Source organism: Homo sapiens, chromosome 5 (assembly GCF_000001405.40).
Source record: "Homo sapiens chromosome 5, GRCh38.p14 Primary Assembly".
Classification (NCBI taxonomy): Eukaryota; Metazoa; Chordata; class Mammalia; order Primates; family Hominidae; genus Homo; species Homo sapiens.
Window position 1 is genome coordinate 169,636,712 of NC_000005.10, and position 18,665 is coordinate 169,655,376.

An 18,665-nucleotide genomic window follows, 5' to 3' on the forward strand; every position below is an offset into this window, starting at 1 on the left:
AAGAGAGAAACTCGAAACTCCGTCTCACAAAAAAAAAAAAAAAAGGCTGTAAAGGATCCACCTCCAGGTAAACATTTACTCTTCCATGTCACCTGCTGTGTACATTGTCTCTCTAACCCTCACAATAATCATATGAAGTAGGTATTAGTATCCCATTTCACAGATGAGAAAACTGAAGCTTAGAAAAATGAAGTCATTTGTCCCCGTCTGGATTCGAACCGAGATCTGACACCAAAGCTCATGCTGAGGGGAGTTAAGGAGGTTTGTTCAGTCCCTAGGCACGGCAATCAGGAAACTCTCTGCACTTGCGGTGGTGGTCTGGCGAGCCCCAGGTGGGGACTGGCCTCTGCTCCCTCGCCTGGGGAGGAGACAAAGTGGGAGTGGTCCCCAAGTTTTGCGTGAAGTGGGGTGGGGTGGCGTGTCTTAGCCTACGGGGCACCAGCCTTCTAGTGTGCCCCTGCCCAACGGGAGGGAGGAGGGAGCGGGGAGCCCCGGCGAGGGAGGAGAGGGCGGGCCCTGAGAGGAGTTTGAAAAGAGGAAGGAAGTGGGGCCCTGCGGCGCCCAGCCACCCCCTGACGGCTTCCCCACGGGAGGACGCGAGGCCCCGGCCCAGCCATGGCCCCCTGGCGCAAAGCTGACAAGGAGCGGCACGGCGTGGGTAGGTGCGGGCCCCAGGGCGCGGCAGGGAGCGGGACAGGTGGCGGGAGAGCCGCGAGCAGGAGGATGCTGCGGGGCCGGCGGCGCGGGGTGGGCAGGGCGCGCTGCCTGCAGGTCAGAGGGCGCAGCCTGCGGCGGGGCCTCGGGGCGGGAAAGCCGAGGCTCGGGGAGAGGACGGCGGGACCCCACCCCGCAGGCTAAGCACAGCCCTCGCCCTCTCGCCTGCTGAGGGAACCTTAGACATTTCCGAGATAGGGTCAAGACCTGCGCTTGACAACTCAGTTCTTCGCGCCAAACTCGGCGTCCCCAGGAGTGCCCCAGCTCGCCGCGTGGGAGACTTGGCCTTGTAGAGGGAGCTCCACTCTCCCCTGGCTCAGCCTTGGCCTGCCCACCATGCATACTTCCACCCCCTCCAAAGCGACACCCATTTGCCTGCTTCCCCTGTCTGTTCCTCCTGGGTCAGATGACTCCTGATTTGGCAGGGCATCCAGAGGGCAGCTCAAGCTTGGGGGAATGGGGCTGGACGGTGGGGTTCTCTACTCAGCCCCCCAGAGCCTCTGGGGAAAAAGGCTCCCGCCAGGTGGTCTTAGGGTAACCAAGAAGCTAGCTTCGTCAGCCTCAGCCATCTAAACTCCCAGAAGCCTCTGCCTGGAGCTCAGGGGCGGAAGTGGTGGCTGGGGGAAGGGAGGCCTCAGGTGCTGCTACTCTAAGTGTCATCCGTGGTGCAATCTCCATGGACTCACTGTGGTTTTTAAACTTAAATATCAAATAAAAAGTCACTCTGGAGCTTCCTACACAGGCGGATACCAGACACCATCTCAGAGATAAATATTTCGCAGGTGAGGCATTGGAAGACCCAAACACCCAGAGGGATTTGATGCAGGGGGTCCCCAGGCCACTGTTTGGGAAACACTGCCCTGGAGAGATCAGCAGTTATCCACTCAATTACTGGGTACCGGGCACTGTGGGGTCATTTTGATATAAATGGTCCCCATCCAGAGAACAAATAATAATTCATATCTCAAGGGGCAGTTACAAAGTAAGGAAGGATACAGCTTCTGCCCTTGAGGAGTTATGTGTAAGGCTAGAGGCTTGGACTGGGAAGTCAGAACTGAGTTCAAATCAGGGTCTGTTTCCTCGTCTATAAAGTGGAAGTAATAATAATGCAGGTCTCATGAGACTCTTGTGAGGATTGAATGGGGTTATGCATGGAAAGCATTTAGTAGTGTGCTGGCTCAATAAGAGTTAGTGATTCAGGTCCAGGGTCTTACCTAGCAGCTTCAGAACCAAGAGACACCAGCACCAAGATGCACCCTAATGCCAGATTCAGGACAGTCATGCCTTATGAGACTGTAGTATTTCATGGTTTGCAAGACCAAAGGTCATGCAATCTCTGTCTGACTTCAGAACCCCCATGTGAGGCAGTGTATTATTCCCAACTTACAGGTGAAGTAACCAAGTTTACATCACTTGGAAGCAATGGAGCGGGCCTTAAATTCAATTGTCTTCAGACCCTAGGCCCTTTGCATGGCACCAGAAAAGCATCTAGAAGGGGAACATCATGGGTAAAGGCAGGGAACTGGCATCCCTGAAGTGTGTGGGTCAAACAATAAGTAGTCTGTTTTGGTTTTAGTATTGCTTTTAGTGTTAAAAAAATTTCAGAGGTAGATTATGGCTAGATTGTGAAGGGCTTTGAGTGCCAACCTTCAAAGTTTGGATTTCCTTCTCTGAGCACTGGAGGTTTTGAGCAGTGTCATCTGGAAGAAGTTAAATAGTTAATTAGGATAGGAGTGGGGAATTGGACTTAGAATAGAAGGAAAATGGGTAACAGTTTTACCTGTCTGCTGACTGCCTGGTTAATCTAGCAGGAGGTCACTTATAATCAACATTGCCTGTTAACCTTTACTAGGTTAATCCACTCTGCCTGAGGCTCTTGTCAGTGAAGAGAGCTTTCTCCTTGCAGGAGAGAGGAAAGGGCAGAAAAGAAGGAGGTAGAAAGAGAAACTAACAGTATCAGTTAGGGTTAAGTGTGACAAAGGGTGACAGAAAACCTCCAAAATTGTGGCCTAACCAAGCTGCAAGTTTATTTCTGTCTCTCATGGAAAGCTCAGAAATGGTCTGGGAAGAGGTGGTAAGGTGGCTCATTCTATATCTCACACTGTATCCTTGGCATGTGACTTCTGCCTCCTGAGCCACATAGGCTGCTTAAGCTTCGGTGATCAGGTCCACCTTCCAGCCAGCAAAAAGGATGCAGGGAAAAAGAAGGTCATGGCTTTTCCCTTTAAAGACATTTTCCTGAAGGCACACTTGACATTTCTTCTTACATTACATCCTATTGGCAAAAATGTAATCACATGACTGACTATAGCTGCAAGGGAAGCTAGGAAATGTAGTCTGTAATGTAGGCAGCCATGTACCCAGCTAAAAATTAGGAGTTCTCTTCATAAGTAAGGAGAGGAGGAAGAATATTGAGGATGATATATTAGTTTGCTCAGGCTGCTGTAGCAAAATACCACCAACTGGGTGGCTTAAACAACAGAAATGTATTTTCTCACAGTTCTCGAGGCTGGAAGTCTAAGATCAAAGCACCACCAGGGTTGGCTTGTCTCATGGCCTATCTCCATGGTTTGCAGATGGCTGTCTTGCTGCCTCTTCATTGCTTTCTGTGCAGGCACACCCTTGCTGTCTCTTCCTCCTGTCATGAGAACACCGGTCATATTGGATTAGCATCCCACCCTAAAGGACTCATTTTAACTTAATAATTCCTTTATCTCCGAATATGCACTTATCTCCAAATAGGAGTACCTTCTGAGACACTGATGACTGGGACTTCAGCATAAGAATTTTGGTGGGGACACAAATTCATGACAAATAATCTGTGGTCTCTGGCATGGTATTTTGGGACTATAAAGAGGGCTTCAAGGCAGGAGTCCTGAGATAAAGGGTGAGGGTAGAAAAGAGTTTTGTTTACCCTGAAGCTGAGCCTGCCAGGCAGATTTGTGTGGGACTCTAGTTATTCTTGTAGGGGAGGGAAAAGCTTCTTTCTGCTACTGCATCTTGGGTTTTCTGTAAATTAGACTAACAAAAGACTGATGAACAAGAGAAAACAAACAAGTTTATTAGCATGTACATCCTGCTTACATATGGAGTACTCAAAGGGTTGGTTTGAACTTGAGCTTATACAGCATCTTAGCAAAGGTACAATAAAGGTTTAGAGAAGTAGCAAGTCAAAGGAGGGTTTTAGGCCTCCAAGGGCAGCAAACTGTGGGAAGGGAAATATATGGGGAATCTAATGGAAGATAAAGGGTTATTTGTGCAGGTTCATCTTGGAGCCAACTTTCTGTCTTCTTCATTGCCATAAAACTTCCCTGGGAGAGGGGATTTATGACAGTCCTTATTTCTTAGGAGTTTCTTCAGATAAATATCCAGGAAAGCTTCTTGCTGTACCTGTTGATTCTTATTTGCATCCAGCTCAAAATAATCAATATGCCCTATGGAAGTGGCATATTTTGATCAGAAACCTGTTCTGTATGCAGCTTCTCTCTAGCTATGGTTTTACACCCATGTGTGGTGTTGAGGAATATTTGTTGGTTTCTTCTGAGGGCTGAGGGAAAATCTGTTCCAGGTGTCTCCCCCAGCTGCCAGTGGTTTGCTGGCAATCCTCGGCATTCCTTGGCTTACAAAAGCGTTGCCTTGATCGCTGCCTCCAACTTCACGTGGTATTCTCATTGTGTGCGTGTCTGTCTCCGCATTTCTCCTTTTAAAAAGGACATCCAGTCATATTAGATTAGGGCCCACCCTAGTGACTTCAGTTAAATGTGATTACCTCTGTAAAGACTGTCTCCAAATAAGATCACATTCTGAGGTACTGGGAGTTGAGACTCCAACGTCTCTTTTTTTGGAGGGGGAGGGCACAATTCAAACCATAACAGGCTCTGCAGAAGCAGAGAAGGGATCTTTTTCACAGCTTGGTTGGGGAATATGGAGGAATCCATAACCAGCTCGTGGTTCAGGGATGTGGGTGATGCTGTCGCAGCCCAGGACCCTGGACAGAGCTGATCCATGCACACTGACAGATTTGGCGTGGGCAATGTGTGCTGGTGTCATTTGCACATGGATTTTTGTTGAAGGGAACAAAATCTAGTCAAACCAGTTCAACGAAAATGTGTGTGGTGTGTATCTGTGGGAGAGCAGGGAGAAGTGGTGTATTTTAGGGTCAGAGGAATCACATGGAAATCCAGGAAACAGGAGGAGCCAGGCCTCGGAAAGGGCTTGAACTGAGGCAACCCTGGAAACCTCTGCCTCTCCTCTCATGGCTTCTCAGCTTCTCTGAGCATGCCAACTGTGGTCTCCTTTCTCTCCCCACCACCTCCCTCTGATTGCATTGTTCCTTCGTAACTGATACTCTAATACCACAGTGGTGGCCCCAGCATGCAACCCACCCATCTCTGCACAACCTTGCAGTTCAAGCATCCACTGAATCTTCTCTGTGTTTATTTGTTCAAAGTCCCAACAGAAGAGAGTGGTAGCTTGATTTCCCTTTGTAAGAAAGACAACCCAAGTCAGAGTTCATTGCCAGCCTAATAATGGGCCTCACTCTGGTGAGGGTGCTGCCCCTGGCAGGTCTAATTCTCTGTGACTATGAGGTGGGGTCACATGGCTTGCTACTCCTCTAGCAGGAGCCATGGGTGGGGACTGATTCTTTGAGTTGGAAGCATGAGTGGAAACTGCATCCCAAACATACCCAGGAGCAGAACTTCACTACAGAGGGACCAATTATACTGCTTTTATTGCCAAATGCAACAGTTGAAAGGATAGAGAGCATCACTCACTCATTAACTTGTCCATTTGTTCACTCATTCATTCTTCATTAACTTCTTAAATATTTGTTGGGTGTGTGTGCCAGGCATTATGCTAGTCACTGAGATTACTAGAATTAGGCCAATATGGCCCCTATCCTTCTGGAGCCTGTAGTCTAATAGGGAAGATGAAAAAGAATTTCATGAATAAATCAGTAACCATATAATTACAAATTGTGATATGTGCTGTTTTAATATGAGTGAGAATATTAGGAATGGTCTTGAATTAGATGATGTGAGAAGGCCTCTCAGGAGCAATGGGGAAAAGAATCCCAAAGCCAATGCTTGGAGGGATATTAATACATGCATCTTTGCTACAGTGGCTGACTGTACCTTTGGATTGGTCCCCAGAAATTAGTCTGGTGAAACAAAAATACATGGATTAGACATCTAATTCCTTCCTGCCACCAATTCTTAGGTGCCGGGGCTTCCTACTTTCAGATGCTTCAGCAATTTGGGTCTGTTTAGGAGTGCCTGCTGGGCTGGCTGTTTGAGTTCATGTAAGGAGATTGTCCTAATCCGTAGTTATATGGGCACCTCATTAGGCAGTGGACATCTTGCCCCTGACCATAATGTTTGCATTTGAATGAGCCTTGAAGACAGATTGTGTTTTCTAAGCTCTGCTTCCTCCTGAGATCAGCATCCTATTGCTGCTGTCTTTTGAGAGATGAAATGTAGTCACCATACTGCTCCGCTAATTTCTGGACCTTTGGATTTGTTTTTTTTTTCAATAGTCAATTACACATGGGTGCCACAGTCTGTGCTCTGCAGCATATGTTCTGCAAATGGGGAATGACAGTGCTTATCACCACGCAACTCCAGAGGAGTCTGGGCGGAGACACCACAAATGTTCCCTTTAATAGGCACTTTCTCCTTTCTTCCCCCTTCCCTTAATTGGTGTGAATTGAAAAACAGTCAGGCTGAGTTTGTGAGCTGCTTAAGTCTTATTCTGTTGTTAGTTCTCCTTGGAGAAAGTCATTCCTTGTCTCCCTGCACCCCACCAGGTCAGCTTCTGCTTTGGTTTAAAGTCATGGTGGCAGAAACTGAGGCTGGAGAAAGTATGACCGCCAATGTGGACACTTTCCAGAGCCCTCTCCGTTCATCACTCTAGGGCAGTGGTCTGCAACCTTTTCAGCACCAGGGCTGGTTTGGTGGAAGACAATTTTTCCACAGACTGATGGGGAGGTGGGGCGGGGCGGGAGGGATGGTTTCGGGATGAAGCTGTTCCACTTCAGATCATGAGGCATTAATTAGATTCTCATAAGGAGCATACAACCCAGATCCCTCGCGTGTGCAGGTCACAATAGGGTTCCTGCTCCTGTGAGAATCGAATGCCCCTGCTGATCTGACAGGAGGCAGAGCTCAGGCTAATGCTGGATTGCCTGCTGCTCACCTCCTGCTCTGCAGCCCGGTTCCTAACAGGCCACCAACCAGTACCGGTCGGTGGCCTGGGGAGTTGGGGACCCCTGTTCTAGGGCACTCAGTTCCCCTGACTGCACACGGCCCCTTGGATCACAGCCTAAGCTAAGATGATGGTTGGAGACATAGGTGGACAGTATGACGTGCACACTGTCACGGCACAGGGTCTGAATGGGGTAATAGGCATTTGTTTGGTTGAATTAAATGGTGCAATGCCAGGCCTAGAGACACCCTGACTGACATGGTGGGCTGCAGCAGCAGGGCCATCCCAGTGTCAGCTGAACCTTGAGGGTTTGCCTGGAAAGTGGGTTTTTGCTGCTGGCTTCCCTGGCGGTGGCAGTCAGGGAAGGACCCTTCTAAGTAGAACGAATAGCCAATATAAAGAGGAGGAAGCCTCTCTGATGTGTGGGAGGCCAGTGTGGCTGCAGTAGAGTAAGCAAGATGCAAAGCAGTAAGGAATGGATTCTCTGAGAGAGGTCATAGGGAGCAGTGCCTCGTAGGTATTGTGAGGTCCTTGGCTTTTACTCTGAATGGGGGAGGGGGACATTGCAGGATTTGGAGTAGAATTGTAGGACGACCTGTCTTAAGTTTTAAGAGGATTGAACATAGCAGTTTTATGGTGCATTAATCAGGGGGAATTAAATGTGGAAGGAGAGGGACCAGTTAGGCAGCAACAGTGATAACTCAGGCCAAGAGATGGCGGTGGCTTGCAGCAGGAGGGAGCAGTGGAGACAGTGAGATATGCTTAGATTCGGGATGTATGTGTTGTAGGTCAAGCAAATGGGGTTTTCCTCTTGGAATGGATGTGGGTATGAGAAGGAGAGAGGAGCCAGTGGTGACTCCGAGGTTTCTGGTCTGAATAGCTAGAAGAATGAGGGCTGCATCGAGGCCTTCCCTAGTGAAAACCTTGATCTAAGTAGTCATCGACATTGGCATAAATCATGCCATTGCCTTACCTTTTGTACCACGGTACTTTTTTTTTTTTTTTTAATTTTACTGACAGTTCTGGGATACAAGTGCAGAACATGCAGGTTTGTTACGTAGGTATACATGTGCCATGGTGGTTTGCTGCACCTATCTTCCCGTCATCTAGGTTTTAAGCCCCATATGCATTAGCTATTTGTCCTAATGCTCTCCCTTCCTTGCAACTCCCCCACCCCCTGACAGGCCCCAGTGTGTGATGTTTCTCTCCCCGTGGCCATATGTTCTCATTGTTCAACTCCCACTTATGAGTGAGAACAGGCAGTGTTTGGTTTTCTGTTCCTGTGTTAGTTTGCTGAGAATGATGGCTTCCAGCTTTATCCCTGTCCCTGCAAAGGACATGATCTCATTTCTTTTTATGGCTGCATAGTATTCCATGGTATATATGTTGACATTTTCTTTATCCAATCTATCATTGATGGGCATTTGGGTTGGTTCCAAGTGTTTGTTGTTGTAAATAGTGCTGCGATAAACATACGTGTGCATATGTCTTTATAGTAGAATGATTTCTATTCCTTTGGGTATATACCTAGTAATGGGATTGCTGGGCCAAATGGTATTTCTCGTTCTAGATCCTTGAGGAATTGTTTTCCACAATAGTTGAACTAATTTACATTCCCACCAACAGTGTAAAAGTATTCTTATTTCTCCACAGCCTCACCAGCATCTATAGTTTCTTGACTTTTTAGTAATCGCCATTCTGACTGGCATGAGATGGTATCTCATTGTGCATTTCTCAGATGATCAGTGGTGTTGAGCGTTTTTTCATGTTTGTTGGCCACATAAATGTCTTCTTTCTAGAAGTGTCTGTTTATATCCTTTGTCCACATTTTGATGGGGTTGTTTGTTTCTTGTAAATTTGTTTAAGTTTCTTATAGATTCTGGATATTAGCCCTTTGTCAGATGAGTAGATTGCAAAAATTTTCTCCCATTCTGTAGGTTGCCTGTTCACTTTGATGATAGTTTCTTTTGCTGTGCAGAAACTCTTCAGTTTAATTAGATCCCATTTGTTAATTTTGGTTTTTGCTGCAATTGCTTTTGGTGTTTTTGTCATGAAGTCTTTGCCCATGCATATGTCCTGATTGGTATTGCCTAGGTTTTCTTCTAGGGTTTTAAATTTTTATTTATTTATTTTTTTGAGACAGAGTCTCACTCTGTCTCCCTGGCTGGAGTGCAGCGGAGCAATCTCGGCTCACTGCAAGCTCCACCTCCTGGGTTCACGCCATTCTCCTGCCTCAGCCTCCCGAGTAGCTGGGACTACACAGGAGCCCACCACCACGCCCGGCTAATTTTTTGTATTTTTAGTAGAGACGGGGTTTCACCGTGTTAGCCAGGAAGGTCTCGATCTCCTGACCTCATGATCCGCCCATCTCAGCCTCCCAAAGTGCTGGGATTACAGGCATGAGCCACCACGCCCAGCCTCTTCTAGGGTTTTTATGGTTTGGGATTTTACATTTAAGTTTGTAATCCATCTTGAGTTAATTTTCGTGTAAGATATAAGGAAGGGGTCCAGTTTCAGTTTTCCACATATGGCTGGCCAGTTTTCCCAGCACCATTTATTAAATAGGAGATCCTTATTCCATTGCTTCTTTTTGTCAGGTTTGTCGAAGATCAGGTGGTTGTAGATGCGTGGTGTTATTTCTGAGGTCTCTGTTCTGTTCCATTGGTCTATATATCTGTTTGAGTACCAGTCCCATAGCATGGTACATTTACAAAGCCCTTGTGTCATCATGTTTAGCCCTCACAGACACCCTAAGAAAAATAACTTCTGTCTTCATTTTGCAGGTGAGGAAACTGAGGCATAGATCTTTGAGGTCTCTCTGAAAATTCCCTCTATTTTATGGAAGTTGCCCCTTTTCACCTTGTCTTTTAGTTAGGTAACTGCATGTCATCTTCCCCACTAGCTGGTACATTGTTGGAGGGCAGAGCTGTATGGAGGGTTAACTTTGAGTCCATTCAGCATCACTGCAATAGCAGGAACGTGGTAGGTCAGAGAAACTAATCATTATTGTAGCATAGGTCCCATTGAGAATCCTGTGACCGCTAGAAACACACTTCTTCCCATTAAAATATGCACATGTGCAGTTCTGCATTGTAATGTCGCCAAAACTCATTCATGGAAGCCAGTTAAGGTCCCTGGCAAAATGTGCTTATTTTACTCTGTAACTATTTAGTAAACAAATACAATAGGTATAGCCAAAGCATTCTGCCTAAGGTTTGAATTCTTGAAGCCAGGAGCTTGTCAAGAGTCGGAAAACAATTCTTACAGTCTGTTCAGATCAATTAAGTTCAGTAAGCCTGTCCTGAGTGATGGTCCTTAGCTGGGTGTTTGGGCCCAGAGATGAATAAAACAGTTCGGGAAGCTTACAGTCCAGTCATAACCTCTCTTTCTGTATGAGGCAGCAGAGAGCACCATTATTAGTACTAATGTCCCCATTGGACAGGTTGGGGGCAGTGCCCCCTTTGCTTCATGTTACTAGAGCTGCCATCATCCCCTTCATACTTCCTTGCAGCCTCATGTTGAATGATCTGGGCACCTCTGTAGAATGCAAGCTCTATGATGGCAGGGCCATGTCTGTTGTTCTTCTTCAGCACAGAGCAGGTGCTCAGCGGCTGCTGATTGGATGGATGAAGAGGTGGATTCATAGGTGGATGGATAGTTGTTGATTAGATGGATGGGTGGGTAGATGGATGATAGATGGGTGAGTGGATGCATGGATGGGTGGGTGGGTAGATGAGTGGAGGGGGAGGAGGATGGGTAAAGGGTAAGAGTTGGAGGTTTTAAAATTTTCTGGTGGCCTTATAGGATTCAGATGGACTGAGTTGCCCCATCTTGCCTTTATCTTCCCACCTCATCCATTTCCCTGTCAGGAGGCGAGGTCCTGTGAGAGCACAGCACAGCAATAAATAGAGTACTCTTGAACTCGTCTCCAAACAGTGGACTCCTGCAGATGGTCACTCTACCAAGCTCACCAGTTCTCCCTGGGACTCCATTAAGATGGCCCTGCCATTCATCCCTCACACATCAAGCTGGTTTCCCCCCTCTCTTCCCTGCTGTCACACCCTCTCCCCACCTCCTTGGGGGCTCTCAGTCCAGTTCTTCCCCTTGCCAGTCTCTGCCCCTCCCTCTCCCTCCAGTCTCACTTCCTTAGTGGGGCCTCTTTTTCCCTCTGAGAGTCCACAGCTGCTGTGACTTGCAGTTTAGCCTTTCACTTCTGAAGACAGCTCTTTGTTTCTTGTGTGTTTATTTTGTCTCTTCGACTAGATTTCACAGAAGCTCAGGAGAGCAGGAGCCACCCCCTTTCACCCCACTTTTCTAGCTGCAGGATCCTGCAGAGTGCCAGACGCTCTCTGCATTTGGGGCTGGAGGGCTGATTTGATTGATTTCACCATAAACTCTCTTCCAACTCTGTAGTGTGTGTGTGCATGTGTGAGTGCAAGAGTGTGTGAGAATGTGTGTGTGAATGTGCCTATAGGAGTACTAGAATGGAGAGAGTGAAATCCAGCATGATGTTTCAGAGCAGGGTTTATCAACCTTGTCACTATTGACATTGTGGGCCAGGAAAATCTTTGTTATGGGGCTGTCCTGTGCACTGTAGGATGTTTAGCAGCATCTCTGGCCTCTAGTCACTAGAGGCTAGTAGCACTGACACCCCCGACTCCCCTCCCCCAGGTTGGGACAAGAAAAATGTCTCCAGACATCAACAAATGTCTCTTCTAGTGGGGCAAATTCGCTCCCAGTTGAGATCACTGTTTGAGAGAATTCACTGGAATCCTAACTTTCGTCTTGTCGGCTGGGCATGTCACTGGCTCGCTAAAAACTGTGCGCTACAATATGCAGCCCATAAGGTTGTTATCATGATCCAGCAAGAGGCCTAAAGCACCTGGCACAGTGCTGGGACCAAATGCATCTCCACTCGTGAGAGGCGATGTGAGTGTGGTGCATGGCTGAGAGAGTGTGCTCCGGAGCCAGCCTGTCTGGGGTGAAATCCTCACTTGGCCCCTTCTTTGCTGTGTTCACCCCAGGATGTTTACTTGATCTTGCACTACCTCAGTTTCCTCATCTGTAAAACAGAGACGATAATAATCACACCCACCCCAAGAACTGCAGATTCACGATGAAATGGGTGGCTGTGCGTAAAGCCCTTGGAATAGTGTCTGGTATGCAGGAAGTGTTTGGCAGAGGTTAGCTGTTCTTCTGCTCTCTGCTCTCTCCTGGTGGGTGGAGGAACACCTCCTCCTTCTAGGTTCCCTCTGGCTGTAATTCTTCTGCCTCATTTGCTGCTGACTAGCGCCCGCCCGGGTTTGAGCTCTGGGGTGGCTGCCAGAGGCTTCTGCTGGGTCATCGCAGTCACCCTCGTGGATGCAATGTCAGGATGCTGCCTCAGTGCGGAGGCTGTCAACACCTGTCCAGAGACTTCAGGCACACTGCTTACGCATTTCGATGAGCGCATTTCACTTGAATCCACCAAAGTGGACCTGCTGCTAGTTCTATTTCCCCCTGGAGTGGAGACTCTCCAAAGTGAGCTTCGGGCAATTACATTCTTTCTCCATTATTGCTTTTGTTCCTCTTACACAGCCACTTGTCCAAACTCTATTAACACTTGGTGTTGGCTGAAGCTTGTGTTTTCAAACATGTCAGCAGATGGCAGGGCCCCAGATGAGGTACGAATCCATCTTGAAGGGTCACAGGGCACTCGATGGCTGCAATCAAAATTGGCAGCCAAGACGTGTCTTTTGAAGCAATCTTGATAAATGCAAGAAAGAATATAGCCAGAAGAAGGGACATAGCTGCCCTTCATGTTCATTCACATCCCTTCCGTCCAATGAGCATTTCTTAAAAGTTCAATAAACATTGATTGCACTTCTACTGTGGGCCAGGCGCTAGGAATTCAGTGGTCAACAAGATAGGCTCAGTCTCCATCCTTACTGAGGCTGGATGTAACGAGGATATAAACAAGCCCAGTGTATGTGTAATAGAGTGTGATGCCTGGTGAGGAAGCAGGGACTCTGGACTCCACTCTAGGTTTGAATCCGCTTTCTGCCACTTTCTGTGTGGCTATGAGCAAGTTCCTTAACATCTCTTTGAGTTTCTTGTATGTTACAGGAAGAGTAATAACTTGAGGTTACTATGAAGATTAAATGGGCTGATACAAGTAAAGTGCTAGGGATTTTTTTTTCTTTCTTTTTTTTTTTGCCGGCGTCTTGCTCTGTCACCCGGGCTGGAGTGCAGTGGTGTAATCTCGGCTGACTGCAACCTCTGCCTCCCAGGTTCAAGCAATTCTCCTGCCTCAGTCCCCCGAGTAGCTGGGACTACAGGTGTACCCCACCACACTTGGTTAATTTTTGTATTTTTAGTACAGTCGGGGTTTCACCATGTTGGCCAGGCTGGTCTCAAACTCCTGACCTCAAGTGATCCACCTGCCTCCCCTAGTGTTGGGATTACAGGCGTGAGCCGCCGCACCTGGCAGTGCTGGGGATTTTGTCTGTCTTATCTATCACTGTGACTATAGTACTCAGAGCAATATCTAGCACCCAGTAGGTACTACATACTGTGTCTACAGTAGTTAGGACAGTATCTAGCACACACTAGATGTTCACATGGATATCTGTTGAAAACACCATGGAGTATATACTTGGCATTTAAAATGTGCTCTAAATATTTACCATTTTCTTAGGAAACAGGGTGTGCAGTAGTTAGAATTTAGACTCCGAGATCTATCTATATATCTTATTAGGTGGAGAAGTTGTTTACCCACCCCTTCCTCAGTTTCCTTATATATAAATCAAAGAGAAACATTGAACTTATCTCCTAAAATTGCACAAAGCACAGAGACCCTTCTTTAGTTGTTTTTGTGAGCCACTGTGCTAGAACAATGGTGTTTACTTTCACCTTAGCTCCCTCTATTTGAACTCCTGATGAATAGAGTACTTCAATATGTTTAGGTGGAATTGGTAGCTAATCAGTGGATTCGATTTCCAGGGTTGCTAGAAGTTCCATCTGCCTCAAAATAGCAGTCCGGTGGCTTGCCAACCTGGGATTTCCAATGTGAGTCCTTGCTGGAGTCAGTGACCCAAGATGGCTCCATACTTGGGAACATCCCTTTGATCCTTGGCCATAAATGCTTTGTTCTGGGTGGGCTTGTCAGGATACCAGTTTCTGTTTTGGTTCCTATGTATGGTGCTTTGGTACAAGGAGAGGTCAAGTCTTTCCTAGGGAATGTGTCAGTATTCCCCAGGGCTTGGCGACCTGGCACGATGGGGAAGCTGGAATGAGTATTTGCGGGAATGGCCGAGGGCCTGAGGGCTGTGGGTAGGCTTCCCTGATTTGTCTATCTTTTGTGGACAGGCACTGGGCAGGGTGGAGCAGGCTATGATTTCTTCCTCTTGTTTTTCTGCCTTTTTCATCCCTTGTTCAAAAGTTGAGAGTGGTTAGGCCCATCTTAGACTGGTCAGAAGCAAACTGAAGGACAGAGATAAGCCATCAAACGTAGCAGAGGGGAATTCTGGCTTGGAGCTTCCTGTTAGTCATCTAGAAGACTAAACAGAATTGGGTATTCATAGGCAAAGCCACTTCCTTTGTCAGTCATGTCTGCTTTTCTTCAAATGGAGCCTTAAGAGGCCCTTATGCAAAGGCAGAAATAGATTTATAAATTAAGTGCCAAAGTCAGTTACTTTCATTTTTGTAATCAGTGAGTACTTGGAATGAATACGGATCTTCACTTTGAATACCCAGTTTCAAGATCTGTCCAGGACATCTTAAGCCAATCTACTGGCACCTTCTCACCTGACATTGCTGGGCAGAGGATGAGGGAAGATTCCCGAGGAAAGCAGGGAGGAGCTGGTCACGGAGTAACACACGGTCCTGCCCCACCTCCACATATCTGATGGACACCCCTGATTTGCTCGTGCTCCAGAGACTAACACACATTGTGCCTGGTTTTCTTCTGTTGGAAGCCTCAGTTGCTTCCACCATCCTGTCCAGTTCTACTGCCAAGTCCTCAGGCAGACCACTTGGGCTGAAAGAGCAGGGAGCAGAGTCTACCCAGTGAGGACACCAGCAAACTGGAGTATGTCCAAGCAACAGCAGCCTATGAGGGGAAGGGGGTTGAAATCAGGCCAAGTGCGGAGGGAATGAAGAAACAGGCTGCGTTTATGCAGGAGGAGAGAAGCCTCAGCATCCCCCGAGGGCCCTCTCTAGATTTGCTTTTGGACAAAGGATTAATTTGATTAAGTGTTGGTCGACAGAGCAGTTGGTTGCAAAGTGCAGGAAAGGAGATTTAAAGGCTACACAAAGCTCTGGAGGAGTGAGCCTTGTTCAGGAGATAATATAATGCTAATAAAAAGAAAAGTGACTACATTTACTGAGCACTTACTATAGCTGGACATTAAGTCAAGTCGTGTATGGGCATTAATTTCAGCTGAGCCTCCCAGGAACCCAGTAAGGTAGGGACCATTATTTCTTGCATTCTACAGTCAGAGGAACTGAGGCTTAGGGAGATTCAGCCACTTGCTCAAGCAGGCTGCCCCTGGCTCCTACAGTGCCTTTGTGTGGATTACAAAAAGATATCCTTCCTCTGGTGGGCACAGTGCCAGGGCAGGGTGCAAGCCTTGGCAAGCAGATCGCAGGTTGGGTGCCAGCCTTCACTGCTCTCTTGGCTGGGTGGCCTTGTGCAGGGCACAGCCTGGGCAGTTGTACACTGCAGCCCTAGGCTTGAGGCCAGAGCCAGGAAAAGACAGAACTGGCCTCAAAAGCCACATCTGTCTGACTCCAGAGACAACTAGCTCTTAACTCCTAAGCTTTATCATCTCTCAGGATGGAGACTTCATCTCTCTGAATGCACACAAAAGGGAGGTTAGGGATATGGGGCACACCTGGGAGTAGAGGGGACAGCCTGTGCTCCGTTCCACTGAAGCATCCTAAAAACCCTGCGAGATAGGTACTGTTAACATCCCCATTGTAAGAAAGTGAGGCAGAGAGGTGAAGTCACTTGCCCAAGATCACACAGTAGTGAGTGGCAGAGCTGGGGTTCCTTCTGAACCACTCTGGTCTTTTAATGTGGTTTAGGCAGACGTGTTGGGGTGATTGGACCAGGGGAAGGAGGAAGGAGGGAAGAGAGAGGGAAGGAAGGGAAGGAGATAAGTGGGAAGAGGCAGAGATGAATGAGAGTTAGAGACTGGCGGTGGTCTCTGTGATGCAAAAGAATCTGCACAGAACCCAGTGGCATTTCACCCAGCTTCTGCATAGGGGTTAGACACAGAGCAGCATTGGCTATTTAGACCCTGGTCACTTAATGGATCAGCCTACGGTCCGTATCCTCAAAGGTAAAAGGAGGTAATTATGAAGAGGTGTACCTGTAGAGTAGAGGAGTAGGAAAGAGCATGGGCCTGTACTCCCAGTTCCAGCATTGTATGACCTTGGGCAAGGCAAGTAACCTCTCTCTGTCTGAGTTTCTGTATCTGAAATTTGGAAATAATAAGACTTCTCACTTGCAAGGAGTGTTGTGAGAATTAAAGGAGTAAATGCACATGGAGAACTTAGAATCATGTCTGGGATATAAGTGATTGCTACACATTCGTTCTTATTAGGATCCACACTGATAAGCCACTTCCAGAAAAGTGGGGCCTGCCTACGTTTAGTTCCTCTTTAGGAATAATAACCTTTTTACAGTGGTATCTTCTTATCTTAGCTCCCCACCCAACATTGTGGGGTGGGTAAGAGTGGCACAATAATGCCTACTTTAAAAGTGGGGAAACGGATTCAGAGGGAAAGTGAGTCTGTTTTGTAGCTGTCACCAGCTAGAGCGGGTTTGGAGGAGTCTGGAGACGTAGCTACTGCCTGTTGTGTGGGCAGCAGCAGGGCCAAGGGCGTCATGAAGGACTGGAGCTCACACCGGGGCCTTCCTCCTGGTAAATCTCCTACACAGGTTCCTTCCCTTGCGTAGCCCTCTCCATTGTCCCAATGGTGCTGTGCTGGTCGGGGAGGAGCATGGGCCCAGCTCAGCTGGCCCTGCCTGCAGGAAGCCTCCTGTGGCCCCCATGCATGGCTCCAGCATGTTATCTCCTGTGCTCTCAAAGCACCTGTACCTCCTGAGCCCAGACCATCCATCAGGTCATTGCAGGTGGACCTGTCAGCTTCTCCCATTAGAATACAAGGCCCTGGCTGTCTAATTCTACCATTTGGTTACTGGTTATGGAGCATTACAACATGGCAGGCTCTTCACACACTGGGACTGTCTTTCTTTCTCATAATAATTTGCCATAGATCCCTGGGGTGCCTGAGCTGGGACTCAACCCCAGGCCTGGCTGAAGGAGGGGCTCAGGGTCTCAGAGGCCACAGCTGCCTGGCTCTCCTGCTATCCTGCTCACCAGTGCATCTCTCCTACCTGGTATAGCACCTCACCACACTTCAGGTGCTTAGTATGCAGTTGTTTCTTTTTAATTGTAGCAAAACATGCATAACAAATGATGTAACATTTTAACTGCCTGGTGTACAGTAAGAGGACAGTCCATAGTAAATAGCAGCCTCCTTGTCACTCAGGCTCAATGCAGGGCCTGTGTTGAGGAAAGGTCAACTTTGGTTAATAGAAGGTCTTGGGAGCCAGGCTGAGTCTGAAATAACTCTTGTGGCAGGCAATAGGTTTCTGTGTTGGTTTTGTTTAGCCCAGGTGGGCTGCGTGGGCATGGGATGGACTTGAGGCAGGGAAAGCAGGAAGGAGCAGAGACTAATGAGATCTAGAGGTCTCACCTAGCTGTCTTTCTTTCTGTTTCACAGCCATATACAACTTCCAAGGCAGCGGAGCCCCCCAGCTCTCCCTGCAGATCGGCGATGTGGTGCGAATACAGGAGACGTGTGGAGGTGAGTCACTGGCCCACGCCCCAAGTGCTGGACCCTTGGCTGATGGAAGCCTATAGTACACCCAGGCCCCTCAGCGCTGTCTCTGAACCTGCAACTGTGTGGTCTATTTAAAAACGTTTTGGTAACGCTAGTAATTAGAATTTACTAAACAGAAATGCTTTCTCATTTTAGGAATGTATGTTTCATAGCAAAAGCCTAACTGGGTGGTTCGATGTTTGTTATGCTCTCCATTTGCTTCAGCCATGGGGCTATTCAGCCTGTGACTCTTCCTAGATACAGTTCTTTATTAGTATTAATATCACGATAAAGGGAAATAAGCATCATTAGGGTTTGGAAGGGTCCCATAAATCACACCTCTAATTCCAGGAGAGCCGATGTGCACAGTTGTGTTGTTTGTTTACTGCATGAAGGCACCCAGCCCAGGGAGCAGGAGCTCACTCCCCTCCCCAAGCTGGGAGCCCTGTCTTGGGCAATGTGGTGGCATCTCTTTCTTTCTCCTACAAAGATGCCATTGCCTTGTGAAGCCAGGTGTCTACTGGGCTGCGTCCACCCATGGTGGTGTGCTTGTAGGGAGTGCTTTTTAAAATTTGCACAAAGATGAATGGCCTTGGACTCATAAGTCAGGCAGTTGGAAATCAACATGTCATTGATAAACTTGATATTGGGAGCATGGCTTGGGCATGAGAACCAAATGAGCTGCTGATCTGTTACCTGCAGTCAGGCAGGCTCCCACCCCTCACTGGCCCAACTGGCCTACCACAGTTCCCTCCTACCTGGGCCTGCTGATACCTCCTGCTGCATGGAGGGCACAGAGCCTGGGCTTCCTGTGTCTCGGCAGAGTGGTAGAGGAAGAAGAGAGAGTGTATTGAGCACATAGGCCTGTTCTGCCC

At 47.8% G+C, this 18,665-nt stretch overlaps 1 protein-coding gene across 8 annotated transcripts in view, besides 4 other annotated features; it reads left to right on the top strand.

Annotated features, from left to right (window-relative positions):
- Positions 432 to 911: a silencer, noted in NCBI's record as "silent region_16601". NCBI's record gives its function as "represses an Ori minimal core promoter by ATAC-STARR-seq in GM12878 lymphoblastoid cells {active_cell/tissue: GM12878}" and the evidence as "EXISTENCE:reporter gene assay evidence [ECO:0000049][PMID:35858748]".
- The window catches only part of DOCK2 (dedicator of cytokinesis 2), a 446,108-nt gene continuing 428,006 nt past the window's right edge, over positions 564 to 18,665 (top strand). For all 8 annotated transcript variants that reach the window (NR_156756.1, NM_004946.3, XM_011534449.3 and 5 more), the window contains exons 1-2: positions 564 to 658; positions 17,692 to 17,775. Coding sequence is in view for 7 of the 8 variants with exons in the window: in NM_004946.3 (NP_004937.1) it covers positions 616 to 658; positions 17,692 to 17,775 (127 nt within the window). In the remaining variant the exon portion in view is untranslated. The remainder of the gene's footprint in view (positions 659 to 17,691; positions 17,776 to 18,665) is intronic.
- Positions 942 to 1,001: a silencer, noted in NCBI's record as "silent region_16602". NCBI's record gives its function as "represses an Ori minimal core promoter by ATAC-STARR-seq in GM12878 lymphoblastoid cells {active_cell/tissue: GM12878}" and the evidence as "EXISTENCE:reporter gene assay evidence [ECO:0000049][PMID:35858748]".
- Positions 1,262 to 1,361: an enhancer, noted in NCBI's record as "active region_23593". NCBI's record gives its function as "activates an Ori minimal core promoter by ATAC-STARR-seq in GM12878 lymphoblastoid cells {active_cell/tissue: GM12878}" and the evidence as "EXISTENCE:reporter gene assay evidence [ECO:0000049][PMID:35858748]".
- Positions 13,376 to 13,435: a silencer, noted in NCBI's record as "silent region_16603". NCBI's record gives its function as "represses an Ori minimal core promoter by ATAC-STARR-seq in GM12878 lymphoblastoid cells {active_cell/tissue: GM12878}" and the evidence as "EXISTENCE:reporter gene assay evidence [ECO:0000049][PMID:35858748]".